Here is an 18,738-nt window from a genome sequence, read left to right as displayed (position 1 = left end):
TTCTAGGGGCAATAACCATGGCTTTGCTAGAAAACTTGGTAGCAGGAAATGTGTACATTGTCAAGATATCTGCATCCAATGAGGTGGGAGAAGGACCCTTTTCAAATTCTGTGGAGCTGGCAGTACTTCCAAAGGAAACCTCTGAATCAAATCAGAGGCCCAAGCGTTTAGATTCTGCTGATGCCAAAGGTCTGTATACTGCCGTAGTCACTGTGATTTTTCTTAAGAAAAAAAGTGTTCTTCCTTACACATTATTTCTGCTCCTACAATTGCTGTATCCCTAAACCGGCTCTCAGTTCCGTAAGTTGTTGCTGATGAGCTTCTGATGTTATAGAGTTGCATGGCTTTTCCTCATACTCCTAGAAGGAGGCAAAATTATCTCAGAATCAACTGCAGTTTTGAAATCACTGTTTCCAGTTACTTCTTCTCCCAGCTGTGCATCCACCAAGACAGAGGAGCCACATCAGCCATGAACTGGTAGGAGTGGGCTTCCTGAGAGGTTTCACAGAAATAAACAGCAGTGGTGGTTGTGGTGTTCAAGTTAAGAAGAGAGCATGGTTTTCATTAAGAGTTTTCACCACAGAGAAACAGCTTTTCTGGAGAGAAAGTTTTTTTTTTTTTTTTCCCTCTCTGTCTCCAGAAAAGCAATTGGAAAAAATATCTTTAAAGAGCTACCCTTACACTACTCATCACAGCTGTCCATGTGTTCTCAAGAAAGCTGGTGCCCCCTGTAGCACAGGACTGGACACTGCCTTTGCCTCCTCTCTGGGGGAGTAGGCTTGTGGAGAAGAGGGGCTGCTCTAAATGGAGGAAATGCCAGCTGAACTCAGGGCAGGATTAAGGGCTCGTAGCTTCACAGAGAATGGTCATTCGGTGCCAGGGATGTGTGTGTGTTAGAAAGAGAATGAGAGAGGAAAAGAGCAGGACAGGGCAGTCAGTTTTAAGAACAGGAAGGAGGTAGCCATCGTAGCCACCGTGTTATCAGGGGAAATGGAAAGCAAGGCTCATATTGGCTTCTCAAATACCTTGCCACTCAAAGTAGTCTAGAGCCCAGCAGCATGGCATCACCTGAGAGCTCCGTAGACTCGCAGAATCACATGCCCCACCCCAGACTTAGTGAGTCAGAGTCGGCATTTCCACATAATCCCTAGTGACTCACAGGCACATGAAAGTTTGAGAAGCCCTGCTTTAGTGTATGTAAATGGAAAACTAATCTTCAACATGCAGATCTGCTTTTAAGGCATGACATAAAATCTGTTCTTGGGTCTATCAAGGAACATCTATGTTTTGTACCTGTTTTATAAATTATGAATTGATGTTCATGATTGCTATAATAATATATCTAAAACTCATTTAAAATCTTTAATATTGGGCCGGGCGTGGTGGCTCACGCCTGTAATCCCAGCACTTTGGGAGGCCGAGGCAAGCGGATCACGAGGTCAGGAGATCGAGACCATCCTGGCTAACACGGTGAAACCCCGACTCTACTAAAAATACAAAAAAAAAAAAAAAAAAAAACTTAGCTGGGCGTTGGTGGTGGGTGCCTGTAGTCCCAGCTACTCGGGAGGCTGAGGCAGGAGAATGGCAGGAACCCGGGAGTTGGAGCTTGCAGTGAGCTGAGATTGCGCCACTGCACTAGCCTGGGCAACAGAGCGAGACTCCGTCTCAAAAAAAAAAAAAAAAACTTTAATATTGGAAGAGAAATCTGTCTCTGAAATCACTGATTAAAGATTACTGTGTGTCCTTTCTGCTTTGATGTTGACAATGTCAAAACTTTTCCTATGAGATAAAGAAAAATTTTGGAAAAGCAAGTACCTGAGAATTATAAATTAAATAATTTATTTTTCTGATTGATTCTGAGTAAATGTGTTTTCCCTTCTAGTTTATTCAGGATATTACCATCTGGACCAAAAATCAATGACTGGCATTGCTGTAGGTGTTGGCATAGCCTTGACCTGCATCCTCATCTGTGTTCTCATCTTGATATACCGAAGTAAAGCCAGGTGTGTTTCCATTGCTAGAGATGTTGAGGTGAAAAACATTTAAATTACGGTAGCCACAGGAAACAAATGAAAGTCAAGTGCCTTTTAGAGTAACTGGGATTTCCTACTTTAAAATAAATGTGCAGTATTGTTCCCTGAGTTCTTACAGCTATAGAAATGTGCTCATTTTAGAGGGAGATTATTTTCTTGCTGTTTGAAAACATTATGCCAATATTCTTTTTTTTTCTTTTTTCTTTTCTTTTATTTTTTTGAGACGGAGTCTCACACTGTCGCCCAGGCTGGAGTGCAGTGGTGCAATCTCGGCTCACTGCAAGCATCACCTCTTAGGTTCATGCCATTCTCCTGCCTCAGTCTCTCGAGTAGCTGGGACTCCAGGCGCCCGCCACCACGCCCAGCTAATTTTTTTTTTTTTTGTATTTTTAGTAGAGATGGGGTTTCACCGTGTTAGCCAGGATGGTCTTGATCTCCTGACCTCGTGATCTGTGATCTGCCCGCCTCATCCTCCCAAAGTGCTGAGATTACAGGTATCAGCCACTGCTCCCAGCCAATGCTAATGCCAATATTCTTAAATGAGGACTAGTGTCCTTTTTTTTTTTTTTGAGACAAAGTCTCATTCTGTCGCCCAGGCTGGAGTGCAGTAGCACAGTCTCAGCTCACTGCAACCTTCACCTTTTGGGTTCAAGCCATTCTCCTGCTGCAGCCTCCCAAGTAGCTGGCATTACAAGCGCCTGCCACCACGCCTGGCTAATTTTTATATTCTTAGTAGATTTCACCATGTTGGCCAGGCTGGTCTTGAACTCCTGACCTTAAATGGTCTGCCCACCTTGGCCTCCCAAAGTACTGCAATTACAGGCGTGAGCCACCGCGCCCGGCCTAGTATCCTCATTTTCTTAGTATTTTGAGAAACAGAAAGAATATCCTTTGGTTTAAAAATAATAATAATGGCACACTTGTGCAGGCATGGTGGTATCACACCTTGGTAATCCCAGACCTTTGGGAAGTCAAGGTGGGAGGATCCCTTGAGGCCAGGAGTTTCAGACCAGCCTAAGCAACATAGTGAGATCTTATCTCTACAAAAAATGTTAGGCCGGGTGCAATGGTTCACGCCTGTAATCCCAGCACTTGGGGAGGCCGAGGTGAGCGGATCACCTGAGGTCGGGAGTTCAAGACCAGCCTGACCAACATGGAGAAATCCTGTCTCTACTAAAAATACAAAATTAGCTGGGTGTGGTGGTAGGCGCCTATAATCCCAGCTACTCGGGAGGCTGAGGCAGGAGAATGGCATGAACCCGGGAGGGGGAGCTTGCAGTGAGCCGAGATCGTGCCACTGCACTCCAGCCTGGGCGACAGAGCAATACTCCATCTCAAAAAAAAAAAAAAAGTTAAAATTAGCTGAGCATAGTGGGCATGTGACTGTAGTCGTAGCTGCTTAGGAGGTTCAGGTGGGAAGATCATTTGAGCTCAGGAGTTTGAGGTTACAGTGAGCTATGATCGTAGCACTGCACTCCACCCTGGGCAGCAGAGTGAGAGATCCTGTCTAAAAAAAAAAAAAGAAAACACAATTAATCATGTTTACAAGAAGATTGCTTTTTCTTACTATCTGGAATATTTTCTGTTTCAGTAACAGTGCCTGAAATGCCTGAGTCGCTGAGAACACCACGGGACATATGGTGGGATTCTCTAGACAAGGGTTAAAACAAATGTAATAAACATGGATTGAGTGTCTATAAACTCTGTCATGCAATCTCATCTATGGATTGACTTTGGCTAAATTTTTAGCAGTAACTTGCATTCAGTGAACTTGTCTATTTTTAGCCTTTTATATTTTGGGTTTTGTTTTCATTTATTAAGGCTATTTTTTTGAATTAAAAAAAAATCAACGTCAAATACACGTTGTTTTAGGTAATCCCCGTCATTAGACTCCCTCCATTAGCATAGATTTTTCAGTTTATATGTTTTGTAGCTCTACATGGAAACATACTACTCAAAACATTATGTTAATGAAATAGTTCTAACATTTTTGTGTGTATTGAATTGCCTTAGTTTTATTGTCCAAGTTTCTCACTTTAAGAATTTTTTAATAAAATATTTATGCACATTTATGCACATTTATTACTGCCTAAATCTTGAAGTACTACTCTAAATTTACCATCATTAATTGGAAAGTGAATTGTTATGCTAGTGTAATAATCCTCAGACCTTAAGGGGAAAATAGAAGTTAAAAATTGTAATTTCTGCACAAATTATGAATAAGCAACAATACTTGTAGAGAGTAATTTTAGATGAAGTAGACAGCGAGGCAAAAAGAAATAAAGATGCCTCTTCAAATAATAAAAGTTTGCAGCAGTAAGTTAAAATCTAACACTCGATTCTAAAAATATTTGAGAAATGGGTATTAAAGAACTGCATTGCTTACAAAGTTTTGTTGATAGGCCAGGTGGTTCATTTGCCTGCATCTTCTATGAAATTAGAAGACTTCCTCTTCTTGCCAATGTTTTAGGAAATCATCTGCTTCCAAGACGGCACAGAATGGAACTCAACAGTTACCTCGTACCAGTGCCTCCTTAGCTAGTGGAAATGAGGTAGGAAAGAACCTGGAAGGAGCTGTAGGAAATGAAGAATCTTTAATGCCAATGATCATGCCAAACAGCTTCATTGATGCAAAGGTACTGAGCTGCGGGATTTGCTGCATAAGCCGTTCTTCCATTCCTCCTCCCTGTGTGTGTAAAATGTACTTCCCCCAAAATTGTATGTTGAATGTATTATACCAATACTCTTATTAATGAAATATTGAAATTTTACCGAGATCATTCCTTACATAAAATATTTAGGGGGAAAAAGGTGAGGATAGATAAAAGGTGAGAAAGATGCCATAATATATAGCATATAATATAATCTCATTTATATTATATTCCAACATATAATCTCAGTTAGATGAGATTATATGGAGTGAAGTTGTTTTAACCAAGGACACCATGGTCATTAGTCTATATTTACTATAATTTGGACTGACCTGTATTTACTGGGTGGTCACCTTTTTGTTAATCCATTTGACTTAGTTTGGCTGATTGTTGAACTTAATTGCTTATCAGAACATCCCAAGTATGAATGCCATTTTTAAAAATATGGAGCATCTAAATAGGTGCCTCAAGATCCTTCGTTTTATGGCTGAAGAAAGTTGTACAGAAACACCATTGGAAGAAGTTACTTCATGTCCTTTCCAGTATATATAATAATAGTGCTGTTGTAAGCATTGTGAACAATAACTTTTAAAATTATTTTTAGTCACATTACAACTTTAGATACTGTACGTTATTGGAATAGCTCCCACAACCAATGTGCTATAAATCAGTTGTCAGCAAACAGTCCCACCCAGGCTAGCCTGGGGCCTGTTTTTGTTTGGCTACCTTCTGAGCTAAGACTGTTTTTTACTTTTTTTTTAAGATGGAGTTTCAGTCTTGTTGCCCAGGCTGGAGTGCAGTGGTACGATCTCGGCTCACTGTGACCTCCACCTCCCGGTTCGAGCGATTCTCCTGCCTCAGCCTCCCGAGTAGCCGGGATTACAGGCGTGCGCCACCATGCCTGACTAATTTTGTATTTTTAGTAGAGATGGGGTTTCACCGTGTTGGTCAGGCTGGTCTCGAACTACTGACCTCAGATGATCTGCCCGCCTTGGCCTCCCAAAGTGCTGGGATTACAGGTGTGAGCCACCGTGCCCAGCTGTTTTTTACATTTTTAAAGGTTGTTTACAAAAAAAAATCCAAGATGATGATGATAGGACACAGGCCATATGTGGCCTGCAAAGCCTAAAATAGTTACGATCTGGCCCTCTACAGAAAAAGTTTGCCAAACCCTGTTATAAATTATTTTTCCTTTATCCTTTCCTAAAATTTAGAATAACAGAAGTATAACAAAATTTCAGGCAGTTTTGATACTAAATTTTATGAATTATATTCAACAGATGTAATTTACTTGTATCTAGTACAGCATTGTATACAATACATATTATAGGTAAATATGAATAAATGAATATTTGCTATTTCTCTTTTTTTTGTTTGCAGCCTAATTTAGGTTTTACTTTTCAATACAAATTAAGCCATTCAACTTATTTCAAATTGATCTAAAACATTAGAACCTAAAACTTTTAAATGAGCTTAAAAAGTACTGATACAGGCCAAGTGCGGTGGTTCACGCCTGTAATTCCAGCACTTTGGGAGGCCAAGGTGGGTGTATCACCTGAGGTCGGGAGTTCGAGACCAGCCTGACCAACATGGAGAAACCCCAGCTCTACTAAAAATACAAAAATTAGCCAGGTGTGGCCGGGCGCGGTGGCTCACGCCTGTAATCCCAGCGCTTTGGGAGACCAAGGCGGGCGGATCACGAGGTCAGGAGATCGAGACCATCCTAGCTAACATGGTGAAACCCCGTCTCTACTAAAAATTTAAAAAAAAAAAAAATTAGCCGGTCATGGTAGTAGGCGCCTGTAGTCCCAGCTACTTGGGAGACTGAGGCAGAAGAATGGTGTGAACCCGGGAGGCAGAGCTTGCAGTGAGCTGAGATTGCACCACTACAATCCAACCTGGGTGACAGAGCGAGACTGTCTCAAAAAAAAAAAAAAAAAAATTAGCTGGGTGTGATGATGCATGCCTGTAATCCCAGCTACTCGGGAGGCTGAGGCAGGAGAGTTGCTTGAACCCAGGTGGCAGAGGTTGCAATGAGCCGAGATCGCGCCATATTCTCCAGCCTGGGCAACAAGAACGAGACTCTGTCTCAAAAAAAAAAAAAAAAAAACAAGTACTAATATGTAACTGTGATTGTATTATTACTAGTTTGGAAGTAGATATGAGAGAGGTTAGGAGAGAAGCAGAGTGGGGAGGATGATGTAGGGAAAAAAAGAAACTAAAGTGAAAGGAGCAGAGAGGTAGAGGCCTGAAGTGAAGGAGAGAGACACATTTGGAGAGTATCTCTCTTAATTCCCTTGGGTTAGCCCTAGAGTTGATACTCCATCTAATGTCATTTTGTTGATCATATGTGGGTTCATTATGGTTTGTTTATCCTCATCTGCTTTTTAAAATTTTCAAACATACAGAAAAGTTGAGAGAATAATGTACTGAATATACAAATTAATAATTGTTAATATCATAGTTTTGTATCTTTATATACTTTTTGCTTGCTATACCATTTGAAAATAAGTTTTGGAATATATAGCACATATATATGTATCTTAATGTGTTTTGGAATATATATTTTATGTATAAGCTTAAAAATAAACCTATTATATTGTTTTGACCACTAACAAATACCTTGACTATGTTGTACTACCTGTTTTGTGTTTGTTTGTTTTGTTTTGTCTTGTTTTGTTTTTTTGAGACAGAGTCTTGCTATGTTACCCAGGCTGGAGTGCAGTGGCGCGATCTCGGCCCCGGGTTCACACCATTCTCCTGCCTCAGCCTCCCCAGCAGCTGGAACTAGAAGCGCACGCTACCATGCCCAGCTAATTTTTTTTGTATTTTTAGTAGAGACGGGATTTCACTGTGTTAGCCAGGATGGTCTAGATCTCCTGACCTCATGATCCGCCCGCCTCAGCCTCTCAAAGTACTGGGATTACAGGCGTGAGCCACCGTACCTGGCCTATTTTGTTTTGTTTTGTTTTTTTTGAGACGGAGCCTTGCTCTGTTGCCCAGGCTGGAGTGCAGTGGCTTGATCTCAGCTCACTGCAACCTCTCCCTCCTGGGTTCAAGCAGTTCTCTGCCTCAGCCTCCTGAGGAGCTGGGATTACAGGCGCCTGCCACCACGCCTGGCTAATTTTTGTATTTTTAGTAGAGACGGGGTTTCACCATCTTGGCCAGGCTGGCCTTGAATTCCTGACCTCATGATCCACCCACCTTGCCCTCCCAAAGTGCTGGGGTTACAGGTGTGAGTCACTGTGCCCAGCCGTACTGCCTGTTTTAAAGAAGAAATGATCACATCTATGATCATTTTTGTTAACATTTAAGCATTTTGTGTACTAATGCTTACTATTTGGGTAATGAGTACATTAGAAGCCCAGTCCCCACTACCACACAATATGTACCCCACTCATGTAACAAACATGCACATGTACTCCCTGAATCTAAAATAAAATAAAAATGAAAAGGGAAATGTGAAGCATATAGTAAAAGTTAAAGTATGCACTACTTGTGATAAAGTGAAATCTGTGATACCAGGATATTTTACATTTCCCCTCTTTTATTTCCTCAGGGAGGAACTGACCTGATAATTAATAGCTATGGTCCTATAATTAAAAACAACTCTAAGAAAAAGTGGTTTTTTTTCCAAGACTCAAAGAAGATACAAGTTGAGCAGGTAACCTATCTAAATGAGAAAAATTTTTGGCAATGCGTGATATATGAAATGATGATTTAAAAAGAGGAAAATGTGAATTCATGCTTTATTTTAATTTTCTGTGTTCTTCATGGCTGTGATTTTATTAATTTGGGGCATGGCTCTGTGGAGAGCGAGGTGAATGATAACAGAAGTTGGAATAGTCATCAGAGCTGTGGTTTTCAGTGGGGAGTAGGGTCAGTGAGGTAAGGGATAGGAGCAGGAGCGTGCATCAGAAGCACTGAAGAAGCTTTTGACACTTCGCTTGCCACGGGTAATTCTGATGTGCTCCCACCTGTCTGTGGGGACCTGATGAGCTTTTGCTCGTGGATTCGATCAGTCTGGTATCTCATTGCCATCTTATCTTTTTTTGCCTAGCCTCAAAGAAGATTTACTCCAGCGGTCTGCTTTTACCAGCCAGGCACCACTGTATTAATCAGTGATGAAGACTCCCCTAGCTCCCCAGGTCAGACAACCAGCTTCTCAAGACCCTTTGGTGTTGCAGCTGATACAGAACATTCAGCAAATAGTGAAGGCAGCCATGAGACTGGGGATTCTGGGCGGTTTTCTCATGAGTCCAACGATGAGATACATCTGTCCTCAGTTATAAGTACCACACCCCCCAACCTCTGATTCTTTCACTGGCAGTGATTCAGGTGGAGATTCCGCATTGAGGAAGTGTGAAGACCCTGCTGTGTCATCTGTTAGTGAGCAGACTTCCTCCTTAGTTCTGCAGCCGCCATCTGCCATGCTATGCTTTGATAAAAATGATTTTCCAATCTAGACGGCCATGCTCAGGTATTCTCACCATTAAATCTGTTCGAAGGACAATGAACAGGGAACCAAAGCCTTTTGTGAAAATCTTAATATCTTTATGGGGTATTTTAGCTTTTTTTGAATGTGTTTTGTTTTTTATTTTTAAACTTGTGTAATTTGAATGTTTCATTGTCAGCAATGTGAAAGAACGGTCGAGATGTTTGACTGGATTATAAAATATATCACTGGAGCAAAGGGAAGACTTTTGAAAGCCCCTTTGCTGACTATCTACCTCAGTTTGCCTCCCGGCAAACTCTGAAGACAACTTTGTTACCTCATTTGTTGTTATAGTTTATCTCAGCTACATAACCAATGATACTTCCTAGTAGTATTGTGTTTTCATTGCTGTACGTGTAATGTGTGTGATCAAAGGAGTCATATAGGTAGATGAGTAAGAATGTTTATCTGAAGCTCTGATTTTTTTAAAAAAAGAAACTATGACATCTGCATGGTTTGGATAAGTTCATACCTCTGGCTGTGAGGACCGTTAAACCACTGAGAAGAGGAAAAGTGGGGCTATTTCTTCTAACGATGACCAAAACAAGAAAGTATATTTCTTTTGAGAACAGAACTATTCAATACCAGGTAGGGATCATTTTGCTTAAAAGGCCTTTATGTTTTGGGCATTAGAGTCTGAGTGCTTTATCTCCTATATCCCAAACCTCAAGCTGCCCAGAACTGTGCCTTTTCTACCTTCCCCTTTGCCTGACGGTTGGCCAAAGGCTGCACTGTCTAGTTTGCAAAGCATCCTCAACTTTGCCAGTATTAGTTGCAAAACCCCATGCAGAATATGGATTTTTAAAGAAAATGGGTTAAGGTGGTTTTTTTTCTTTTTTTAAATCCCAGTTTGGCTTAAAGGAGTGAAGACATTTCATGAACTATTAAGAATGAAGGTAAATGCAACAGTAGACAGTAAAATGAACTCGAAGTTATTATGGTAACAGTGCCTTTCAGTATAATGAAATTCTTTGCCTTATACCTTTTTAATATTCATGAAATTGTTTAGGAACAGGAGTACAAAAAGTTGCCTTAAGAGTTTCTTGGATTTTATCAGTAACTATTTTGATGTATAGTATCTTACCAAGGCATTTTTTTTAAGTGCAGGTTTTGTTTAGGGATAAATATTCAGAGTTCTACCACCCTACTTGTGTTTTCTTGAATTCTTTAGAGAATATGGTATCTACTTAATCTTCCTTCAGTGTCAGTGCTGTGAATGAGGAATGCTAACTCCAGGAGTGAGTTAATCCTCTTGCAGGTTTGAAATCAGCAAATTGTTTACTCAGCTACATAACATAGGCCTTTTCTCCGTCATGAGACAGTTACCTAGGTGCCGAGCAGTGGGAGAGGATAAAGAACTAAACGCGTGTAGAGAAGGGGTCCCATATCCTTTTAAAAGTATTTTTTCAAATTTTCTGGAAGTGACTTTTGATTCTCATTTTAAAAGGAATCATAATGGGTTTACACTTGAAATGCTTTGTTCCTAGAGGAGGCAGGGTCATGTTCACTGATGTTCTAAAATCAAAGGAATATTAGCAGATAATAGTCCCAGCATCATCTGCTAGTCTAATGACTGTAGATATAACATTTTTAATTTTTTTAAATCTGTAATTTTGTGCCAAACTGGATGTGATTAAGACTAAAGTTCAATGCCAGCAACCACTTCTGAACTAAACTCAGAGTCCCCCAGTTAGTTATCTAAGTACGGAATTCATCGCAAAACAAACAAAAAAGCAGAGCTTTAGGTGAACAGTCTGCAGCAAGGAAAAATGCTGCTCCTGCCTTTATAGCTCCTGTTTTATACTACCTCCTTTTAAAGTTATTCTAGTGTTATTTTTTTTCCTGTACTCAGGGAACGTTTTGTTACTTTTGAGCTGCCTCATGGAAGCATAGGCAGATTGACAGGGTATAGCGCTTTGTGGTTGGTAAGTAGAAGTATATAGGGCCAACTTTTATCAGTATCTAAAATTAAGTACAGTGAGATCATTTTATTTTTAAGCTTTCATTAAAAGGCAAACAAAATCTAAAGCTGAAACATCATCCATCATGGTTATGGAAGATGTGTCTAGGACTACATGAATTCGAGTGGTTTTAAATGGCTAAAAAGACGAGCTAAAGTCCTTGAGGAAAGTATTTTGTTTGTTTGGTTTTTGATGAATAGGCTTATAGTTACAATAGAACTTTAGGCTATAACTATTTGATAATTATTTAACAGTACATTTTTTACCTTTTCATTTTGTTCTTATACGGACTTTTTCATAATAATTCTGTTACCAAAGAATTTTCAGTAGAAAATAAAATTTTGATTATAATTCCCCCCAAATTGAATTAACTAGAAGCATTTATAGATATGAAACTTACACAAGTAGTTACTAACCCAAAACAATAGGGTTTATATTGATTGTTGTAGTTAAATAGATTAGTAATGTTAACTACCTTATTGTTACCAGAGCATTTAAAATAAGTTGTAATACTTTCTTTACCAGCAGATCGTTCCAAAGAATTTCAGGTATAGTTTTTTCTTCAGCAAGTAAATCTTCAACTATACAGTATTAAAGTATTTTTATATTGTTGAAACTACTTGTTGGAGAGAAAATTTTTTTTTTTTACCAAAAATAAATACTTTGGTCTCATTGAATAAGATATTTAGTAATACAGCAAAGACTTCTTTTTACTTGACCAAATCAAGCTTCTTTGAAGTCTTAAGTATGAAATTGTAATTAAAATGTGAAGATTTTCACTCATTTTTCATAGTGGTATTACTTCATGGTATTGTACTTCAAAGGGGCTAATATGCAAATGGTAACTATTTTCTTTTCCAAAGATGTATTTGCTGTAAGTACTGATACCTGCATGTCATTTTTATGCCAAATATTACAAGATACTGCTCATCAGTATTTTCATACCAAAGACCATTAAGATGTATAGGTTAGCCTGTAAGTAAGTAAAGATGAGCAGATTTGAAATAAATTTATTTAGAGGCCGATAGAGAATCTAGCTTTAGTAGCAAAAAATATCAAAGGGCTAAGTTTACATAATTAAAAGCAATACAATTATATTGGTATTTATCAGTGTTTTTATTCAAGTACTTTTTATCAGCAAATTAAAAAGAAAAAAACCAAAGATATTTAAGGTTACCTCCGCATATAGGCAAATATAGTTGTACATTAAACTGTTGTTTCTTGTTTTTATGTTAAACCAAACATGTCTCTTCGGAACACAGTCTGTATACAAATAACATGCATGAGGACTTTCCATTTAATCTGTGATTCAGCCACATGATGTTTTTGCCAAATGATGTGATACTTTCCAAAGCACCTTGAGTGTGAAATGTCAACAGAAATATCAGCAAGCTTTTATGTTGCAGAGTATTATGGTACCTCTGAATTAGCCTGTATAGTTCTCTTCCTGCTTTAAGCATTACCTGGTTAGCTCAGACGGCTTGAGGCAGTCCCTTAATAATAGGGATGCTTTTCATCTCTAAGGATGTAAGAGGCAAACAAATCATGTCATTCTTTAAGTGGGCTATGCTTTGATAGATGTGCTCTTTAAAGGTGTGAGATTGGAATTTAGAGTTGTTAAATTGAAATGTTTGCATTGCACCAAAGGAGCTCAGTTTTCAAACTTTAATGGAACCTTGGGTAAAGGGAAAAAATTTTTAATGAAATCTGGGGTTTTATATTTTGATTAGCCTAAAAGTAAAAATACAGCTTTATCCATTAAGTGACTTTTAAAAATCAGTTTTGCCATACCAAAGAAATTAGATTCTTAGTGTCACATGCTATACTTTTGTCTGTGCTTGAAACGAGCAATGCCAACATTGGGAACAATGACAGAGGTTTGCATCAGTTTGTCTTGGCTTTGTTAAGGACTTCTGCCAGAAATGTGCTCGTGGTTGACAACCCAGGATCATTGTTCAAGTTCTTATGCAGACACCTTTGAAAACAATTCAGATCGTGTCACAAGAATTTGGAATTGAAAATATCATTTATTTTTTAATGCAAGAATACCCAGATGTGGTTTCACTTCAGCAGTAGCTATAGTGGTTCACTTATATACATTTCTGTTTCACTGAATGTAAATTTTGAATACTGAATGTAAAAAAAAAACTCCAGTTATATTGAAACAGTCACTAAGACTGCACATGTGTTTTGCAGACTTTCTTCCTGACCATTTGCCACATGGGTCTCTGATAAGATTCTGTTGGTTTAATAGTCAAAATAATCTTTGCAGTTTGTGAGCACTGAGTAGCAGGTTCTGGAGACTACCATATACAACCAGTTGTCTAATTGTGATTTTTTTATTGATGTTTAGAAGAATGTAACCGTAGAGTTCTGTGTTAAGTTGATTTATGCTCAGGACATAAGATCACAGGCTAATGCAATGTGTATGTTTCAGGCTTTAATCTTCTCAATTTCCCTTTTTAAGCCGTTGATGGTGTTTAAGATTAACATGACAGTCTTGTATTTTTACCAGATACTGTATTATTTTTCCTATTGCTGCTGTAACACATTACCATGAAGGTGGTGGCTTAAAATAACACAAATTTTTCTTAAGTTCTGCAGATCAGAAGTCTAACACAGGTCTCCCTGGGACAAAATCAAGGCGCTTGCAGGGCTGTTTCTTTTTGAGGCTTTAGGGAAAAATCTATTTCCTTTTCTAGTTTTTTAAGGCTGGGAACCCCTCCTTCCATCTTCAAAGCCAGCCATGTAGCATCTCTCTGAAGCTCCTTCCGTTATCATTTCTCTTTGTCCAACCCCAGCTGATACAGGTTATCTAGGTTTAAGGATTCCAGTGATCACATTGAGCCCACCTAAATAATCCAGGATAATCTCCCCAACTGAAGTTCCTCAACTTAATCACATCTACAGAGTTCCTTTTGCTATGTTTGGTAACATATTCACTGGTTCCAGGGATTTGGGCATGGACTTCTGTAGGTGGCCAGTATTTTGCCCACAACAGGTACATTCTTTCTGTGGAATTCTGATCCCTGTAAAATGTCTGTAGCATTAAAGAGATTGGAAATCTGAGGTCATGTGCCCCTTGGGGATCTTTAAAGATTAAAAGCATGAAAACTTTGACTTGTAGCCTACCAAAATTATACACTAAACTTTCTCTCCAAAATACTTGTGAAACAATTTATCTTTAAAGTTTCTGAATATGTGCTTCATAAAATAACATCTCATGTTTATCAGCAAGTGTCCTAAATATTTGCGTCTAACTTTATGGAATTTATTCAGAAAAAGAATTGAAAACTCTTCTTATAGTTACCCTTTCTCCTTTTCTCTTCAGTGGTTATGTTGCTGGGGAAGAGTTGGGGGAAGACCTCAAAACACAGGAACTCAGAGTGATGAACAGGACCATGCTCAAGTTTATTCTTTGTTTTCTTTTAATGACATATTCACAACATTCACAACTTTCTGCCTTTAAATCTGGTTCCTCTCTTCAGCTTCACCAAGCCACTGAATGCTTTTCAGTTTTATTAACCCTCACATTCCCCATCCTTCTCAGCAAGAGCCTCTCCTTATGCCATCAGCATGTATATACATTTCCTAGGAAATTTGATCTTTCTTGTCATTCTTTTTTGGTTCCAATCGGCCTTTTCCTGGTTCTCAAAGCTCTAGTTTCTTCTAATTTCTGGATCATCGCAAGTCTGGCCCTCTTTGAACTTTAAAACATAATGTCTAATTCCACCCCAATTTTCAGCATTTCTTCAACTAAATCGATAAAGCTGTCTCCATTATGAGAAAGGCCAGAATAATACTCCGAGTAAGCATAAGAAAGCTGGTCATTTTACAACTTCTCCCGACTCTAGGAAGTAATATGATGCCATTTGTTGAGCATCTACAGTGTGCCAAGCACATGGTTCATCTCTGCAAACTGCTGCTACATTCTGTAAAGCAAGTATTATCCGCATTTTAGGGATTAGGAACAGCTTCCTGATCTCTTGCCAAAAGTCACAGCTAGTGAGTGGTTTAGGCAAGATACAAACCCTAGTTAGTTAATCCTTACTCAGAAGTGTATAGGACTATGATACATTGTCTCAGCTTAAAAAAAAAAAAAAAAAAAAAAGGTATTTAATCACCCAGGGTCATAGTGCCTTCCATAGTGTGACCAGATACAACTGTTTTTTCCTTGTATCCACAAAAGCCAGGTTGTGTCAGAACAACCTTTCTACAGAGTAATAACCAATCGAAAAAGAGAAGACTACCTTATTTAAATCCACTTATTCACAGGAGGGATTAAGGCGGCTGTAACTCATCCCTTATCATCTCCTAATTTCTCTCCTCCAAAACCTTCCATTTATCTCAGCTAAAATTGTGTCTGAAGGCTGTTTGTACTTAGAGTTACATTACAAATAAGGTAGGCATGGTTTCTAGAGTCCTTTTCTAGTCAAGCATTTCCTTATTCGACAATGTCTTCAGAATTGCATTTTATCTTTTGTAATTTTCTGTAGCTCCCATATTCCAAACAGGAATTCATTGACTTGAAAAAGTCAGGTGTGTAAACAGTAATCCTTTCTTGTTAGGTCTGAAGAGTTCATGATTTTTTATGAATATAAACTAATTTATTATTTGCATTAATGTAGGAGACAGCAAAGTTAACGGAGAGTCATAAAACAGAACAAGTATAAGTTAGGCTTTGGAGCACCTAAGTTCTAATCTTGACAATTTTGAGAATCGTTTGGTACAAAAATTCTTAAACTGTTTCTGTGCCTTCTCCATCCATGAAATGAGGATAATTTTTTTGTGCAAAATGAAACAATAGTACTTTGAAAACTTAAGAGAAAATTCAAGTGTAAATAATCATAATCTGAAACTCATTTGTATGAGGCTGTGAAAGATTTTACAGACTCTTTCTTTTCAAGTCAGCCTTTGCAATTATATTTTGCCTTTGTTGAAATGAAAAATGTTTGCATCTCCCGTACGCATACACAAAACCAATAGAAGAAAGTGGTTGGTAAAAGATATAGCTGAAATGGAAACACTCATATGTTAGGTGGATAAAATCATAAGAGAAAATGGGAATTGACTGTACTTTCAAAGTACTAAATTTGAAGTCATCTTACTCCAATTTAAGTCATATATATATATATATATATATATATATATATATATATATATATATATATATTGGCTTTTAAAGAGTTAAAGAGAGAATCAGATCTGTCCAGCAGGATAGATGGGTGAGGAGAAAAGTACATATTTAGGATTTTTCTCTAAAAGATCTTTTTCAAGATTATGGAGTATTTTAATATTTCTGCAAACTATTCCAAATGAATGCATTTTATATAGGGCAACACATACTGGCACCTGATTCTGGTTTATTCGAGTTCATATGTAGGGTTTGTTGGGAAGAATTATATGATTGGCTTCTTTTTTTAGAGGAAATATTTTCCCTTTTTTCTTATCCATATACTATTCTGAACAGCTTTGCAGATTTCCTTAAGTTCATAGCTTGTAAGTAGTTCATGGTATATAGACATAGTCTTGACTTACAACTGAAAAAAAATTTATGTTACAGAAGTTTATTTTTTCTATGGAACTGTCTTTAAAAACAAAAATATTACAAATCTTGACCTTGAAATATTCTGTTTCCTGTTATCACATTCTGGATATCTATTTTGTTTGCAAATGAAAATTATTACTGATGATTAGCAACTTGAGCCTGTTAATAGGAAATTGCAAAGCCTGAATACACACACATTGCCTTAGCCTATCAGTAGAGTAGAGGACATATGTTAAGAAAATGTGTCTGCTTGTTGCTGTTGTTGGACAAAATTTTATGTCTGTGTGTATGATTTTTTTTTTTCTATTTTCTTCAAAGATGTGAATTAAATGAAAGTGTGGGAGCCAGTTAAATTATTTTGTATTATGGGTGTTCTGGATCCTTTCACTCCGTATACCATTTTCTTGTAAGGGCAGCATTTGTAGACTTGCTAATGGACTGTAGAGCTGAGCTATATTAATTTTATACTTGACTCAGGGGATCAGTTCTGTGAATGCCATTGCACGAAGAAAGCAAATGTTTGCCTTGATTTTGAATGTATCTTTTTAATGTCTTCTTAAAACATATTTGTTTAATAATGTAGATTTGTTTTTTTTTTTCTAGTATCATAGTAAATATTGCTTAGTACTTGCCCCCACCCCACTGGGTAGTTTATATACTACCCTATAGGTCATGCCAAAAATGAATAAAAGTTTAAATGCCAAAATGTTTATGAAACTGCTGTCTAAATACTGATTGATTGCACAATTTAAATAAAAGCTTTCCTTAGTTAAAAAAGACAAACCCATGTTTTCTTTTATTCTTCAGTTTTCTTTTGGGGGAATAGAGAATGAAAATTTTCCATTTATAGGAGGTTGGCTTTCACATCATGGGTTGGGATGACTATAGAATCCACTCCAAGAAGTAGGAATAGAACCTATTTAAGGTATCTAAGAATTGCTTTCATCTGACATTCACTATTTAATAACAACAAGGAAATAACAATGTTCCCATCCCAGTAGATGGTTGCTCACTTCAGGGGTTAAACAGTAGGTAGCCCAAAAGGTATGGACTTGCTCTGATAGGCACAATTCTAAATCAGGATAAATTTTTTTTTAGTATTAAAATTTTAAAATGGTAAGAAAATCCTGAAAATCTTCCCACTGAAACCATCTAGAAATAACAGATAAAATATAACCCAAAAAAGTTTCTTTTTAACCTAGTTGAATTCTTATTTTTTTAAAAAAAAATCTCTAGGATTGAGAATGAAATGGGGACTGAAAAACAGAGCAGTAACATTTTGAAATGATTTTCTGATGACTGCGGAGAGCATCAAAGAAGGAATTGAAACATGAGAAGGGAAAAACTACATAAAAAGTAAGTTAGAAAAATAAATGAATGGAATTTCCAGAAATAAAAAAATACAATTTTTGAATTTTTGAAACTCTTAATTTATCAAACAGCCAAAGAATATTCTAAAACTGGAAGATAGCTATGAGGAAATTAGCTAGAATGCAGCACACAGAGAGAAACATGGAGAATATAAAACAGATAAAAAGATCTAAGACAGCTGTTTTAAAATGAAAGACTAAAGAGAATGAAGAACAAGTCATATTCATAGGGAAAATTACTACATGATGAAAGCCATACCTCCTCAGATTTAGGAAGCACAAACCTCAGTGTAGAAATACAAAAGTAAGTCTATACCAAGCCACATTATAGTGAAACTGTAGAACAAGAAAGACAAGGTAAGAACTTAAAGGTAGCTAGACAAAAAAAAAAATTTATATAGATCGCACTAAGAAAATTTCTTATTGGCAATAAAAGAAGCAAGAAAGTGGGCCAGGCGCGGTGGCTCACACCTCTAATCCCAGCACTTTGGGAGGCTGAGGTGGGCAGATCATGAGGTCAGGAGTTCAAGACCAACCTGGCCAACATGGTGAAACCCCGTCTCTACTGAAGACACAAAAATTAGCTGGGCATGGTGGTGCGCTCCTGTAGTCCCAGCTACTTGGGAGGCTGAGGCAGGAGAATTGCTTGAATTTGGGAGGCAGAGCTTGCAATGAGCCAA

The 18,738-nt window shown here is 37.8% G+C and overlaps 1 protein-coding gene across 2 annotated transcripts in view; it reads left to right on the top strand.

The window, feature by feature from the left end:
- The window catches only part of PRTG (protogenin), a 131,609-nt gene extending 114,142 nt beyond the window's left edge, over nt 1-17,467 (top strand). For both annotated transcript variants that reach the window (NM_173814.6, XM_017022081.3), the window contains exons 16-20: nt 7-189; nt 1,883-2,003; nt 4,504-4,669; nt 8,244-8,348; nt 8,745-17,467. In NM_173814.6, the coding sequence (NP_776175.2) occupies nt 7-189; nt 1,883-2,003; nt 4,504-4,669; nt 8,244-8,348; nt 8,745-8,999 (830 nt within the window). In that variant the 3' untranslated portion in view covers nt 9,000-17,467. The remainder of the gene's footprint in view (nt 1-6; nt 190-1,882; nt 2,004-4,503; nt 4,670-8,243; nt 8,349-8,744) is intronic.
- The last annotated feature ends 1,271 nt before the right edge of the window (nt 17,468-18,738 follow it).

This window comes from Homo sapiens, chromosome 15 (assembly GCF_000001405.40).
Source record: "Homo sapiens chromosome 15, GRCh38.p14 Primary Assembly".
NCBI classification, from domain to species: Eukaryota; Metazoa; Chordata; class Mammalia; order Primates; family Hominidae; genus Homo; species Homo sapiens.
Note: the sequence above shows the minus strand (reverse complement) of the source record. Positions and strands in the feature narration are given on the sequence as shown.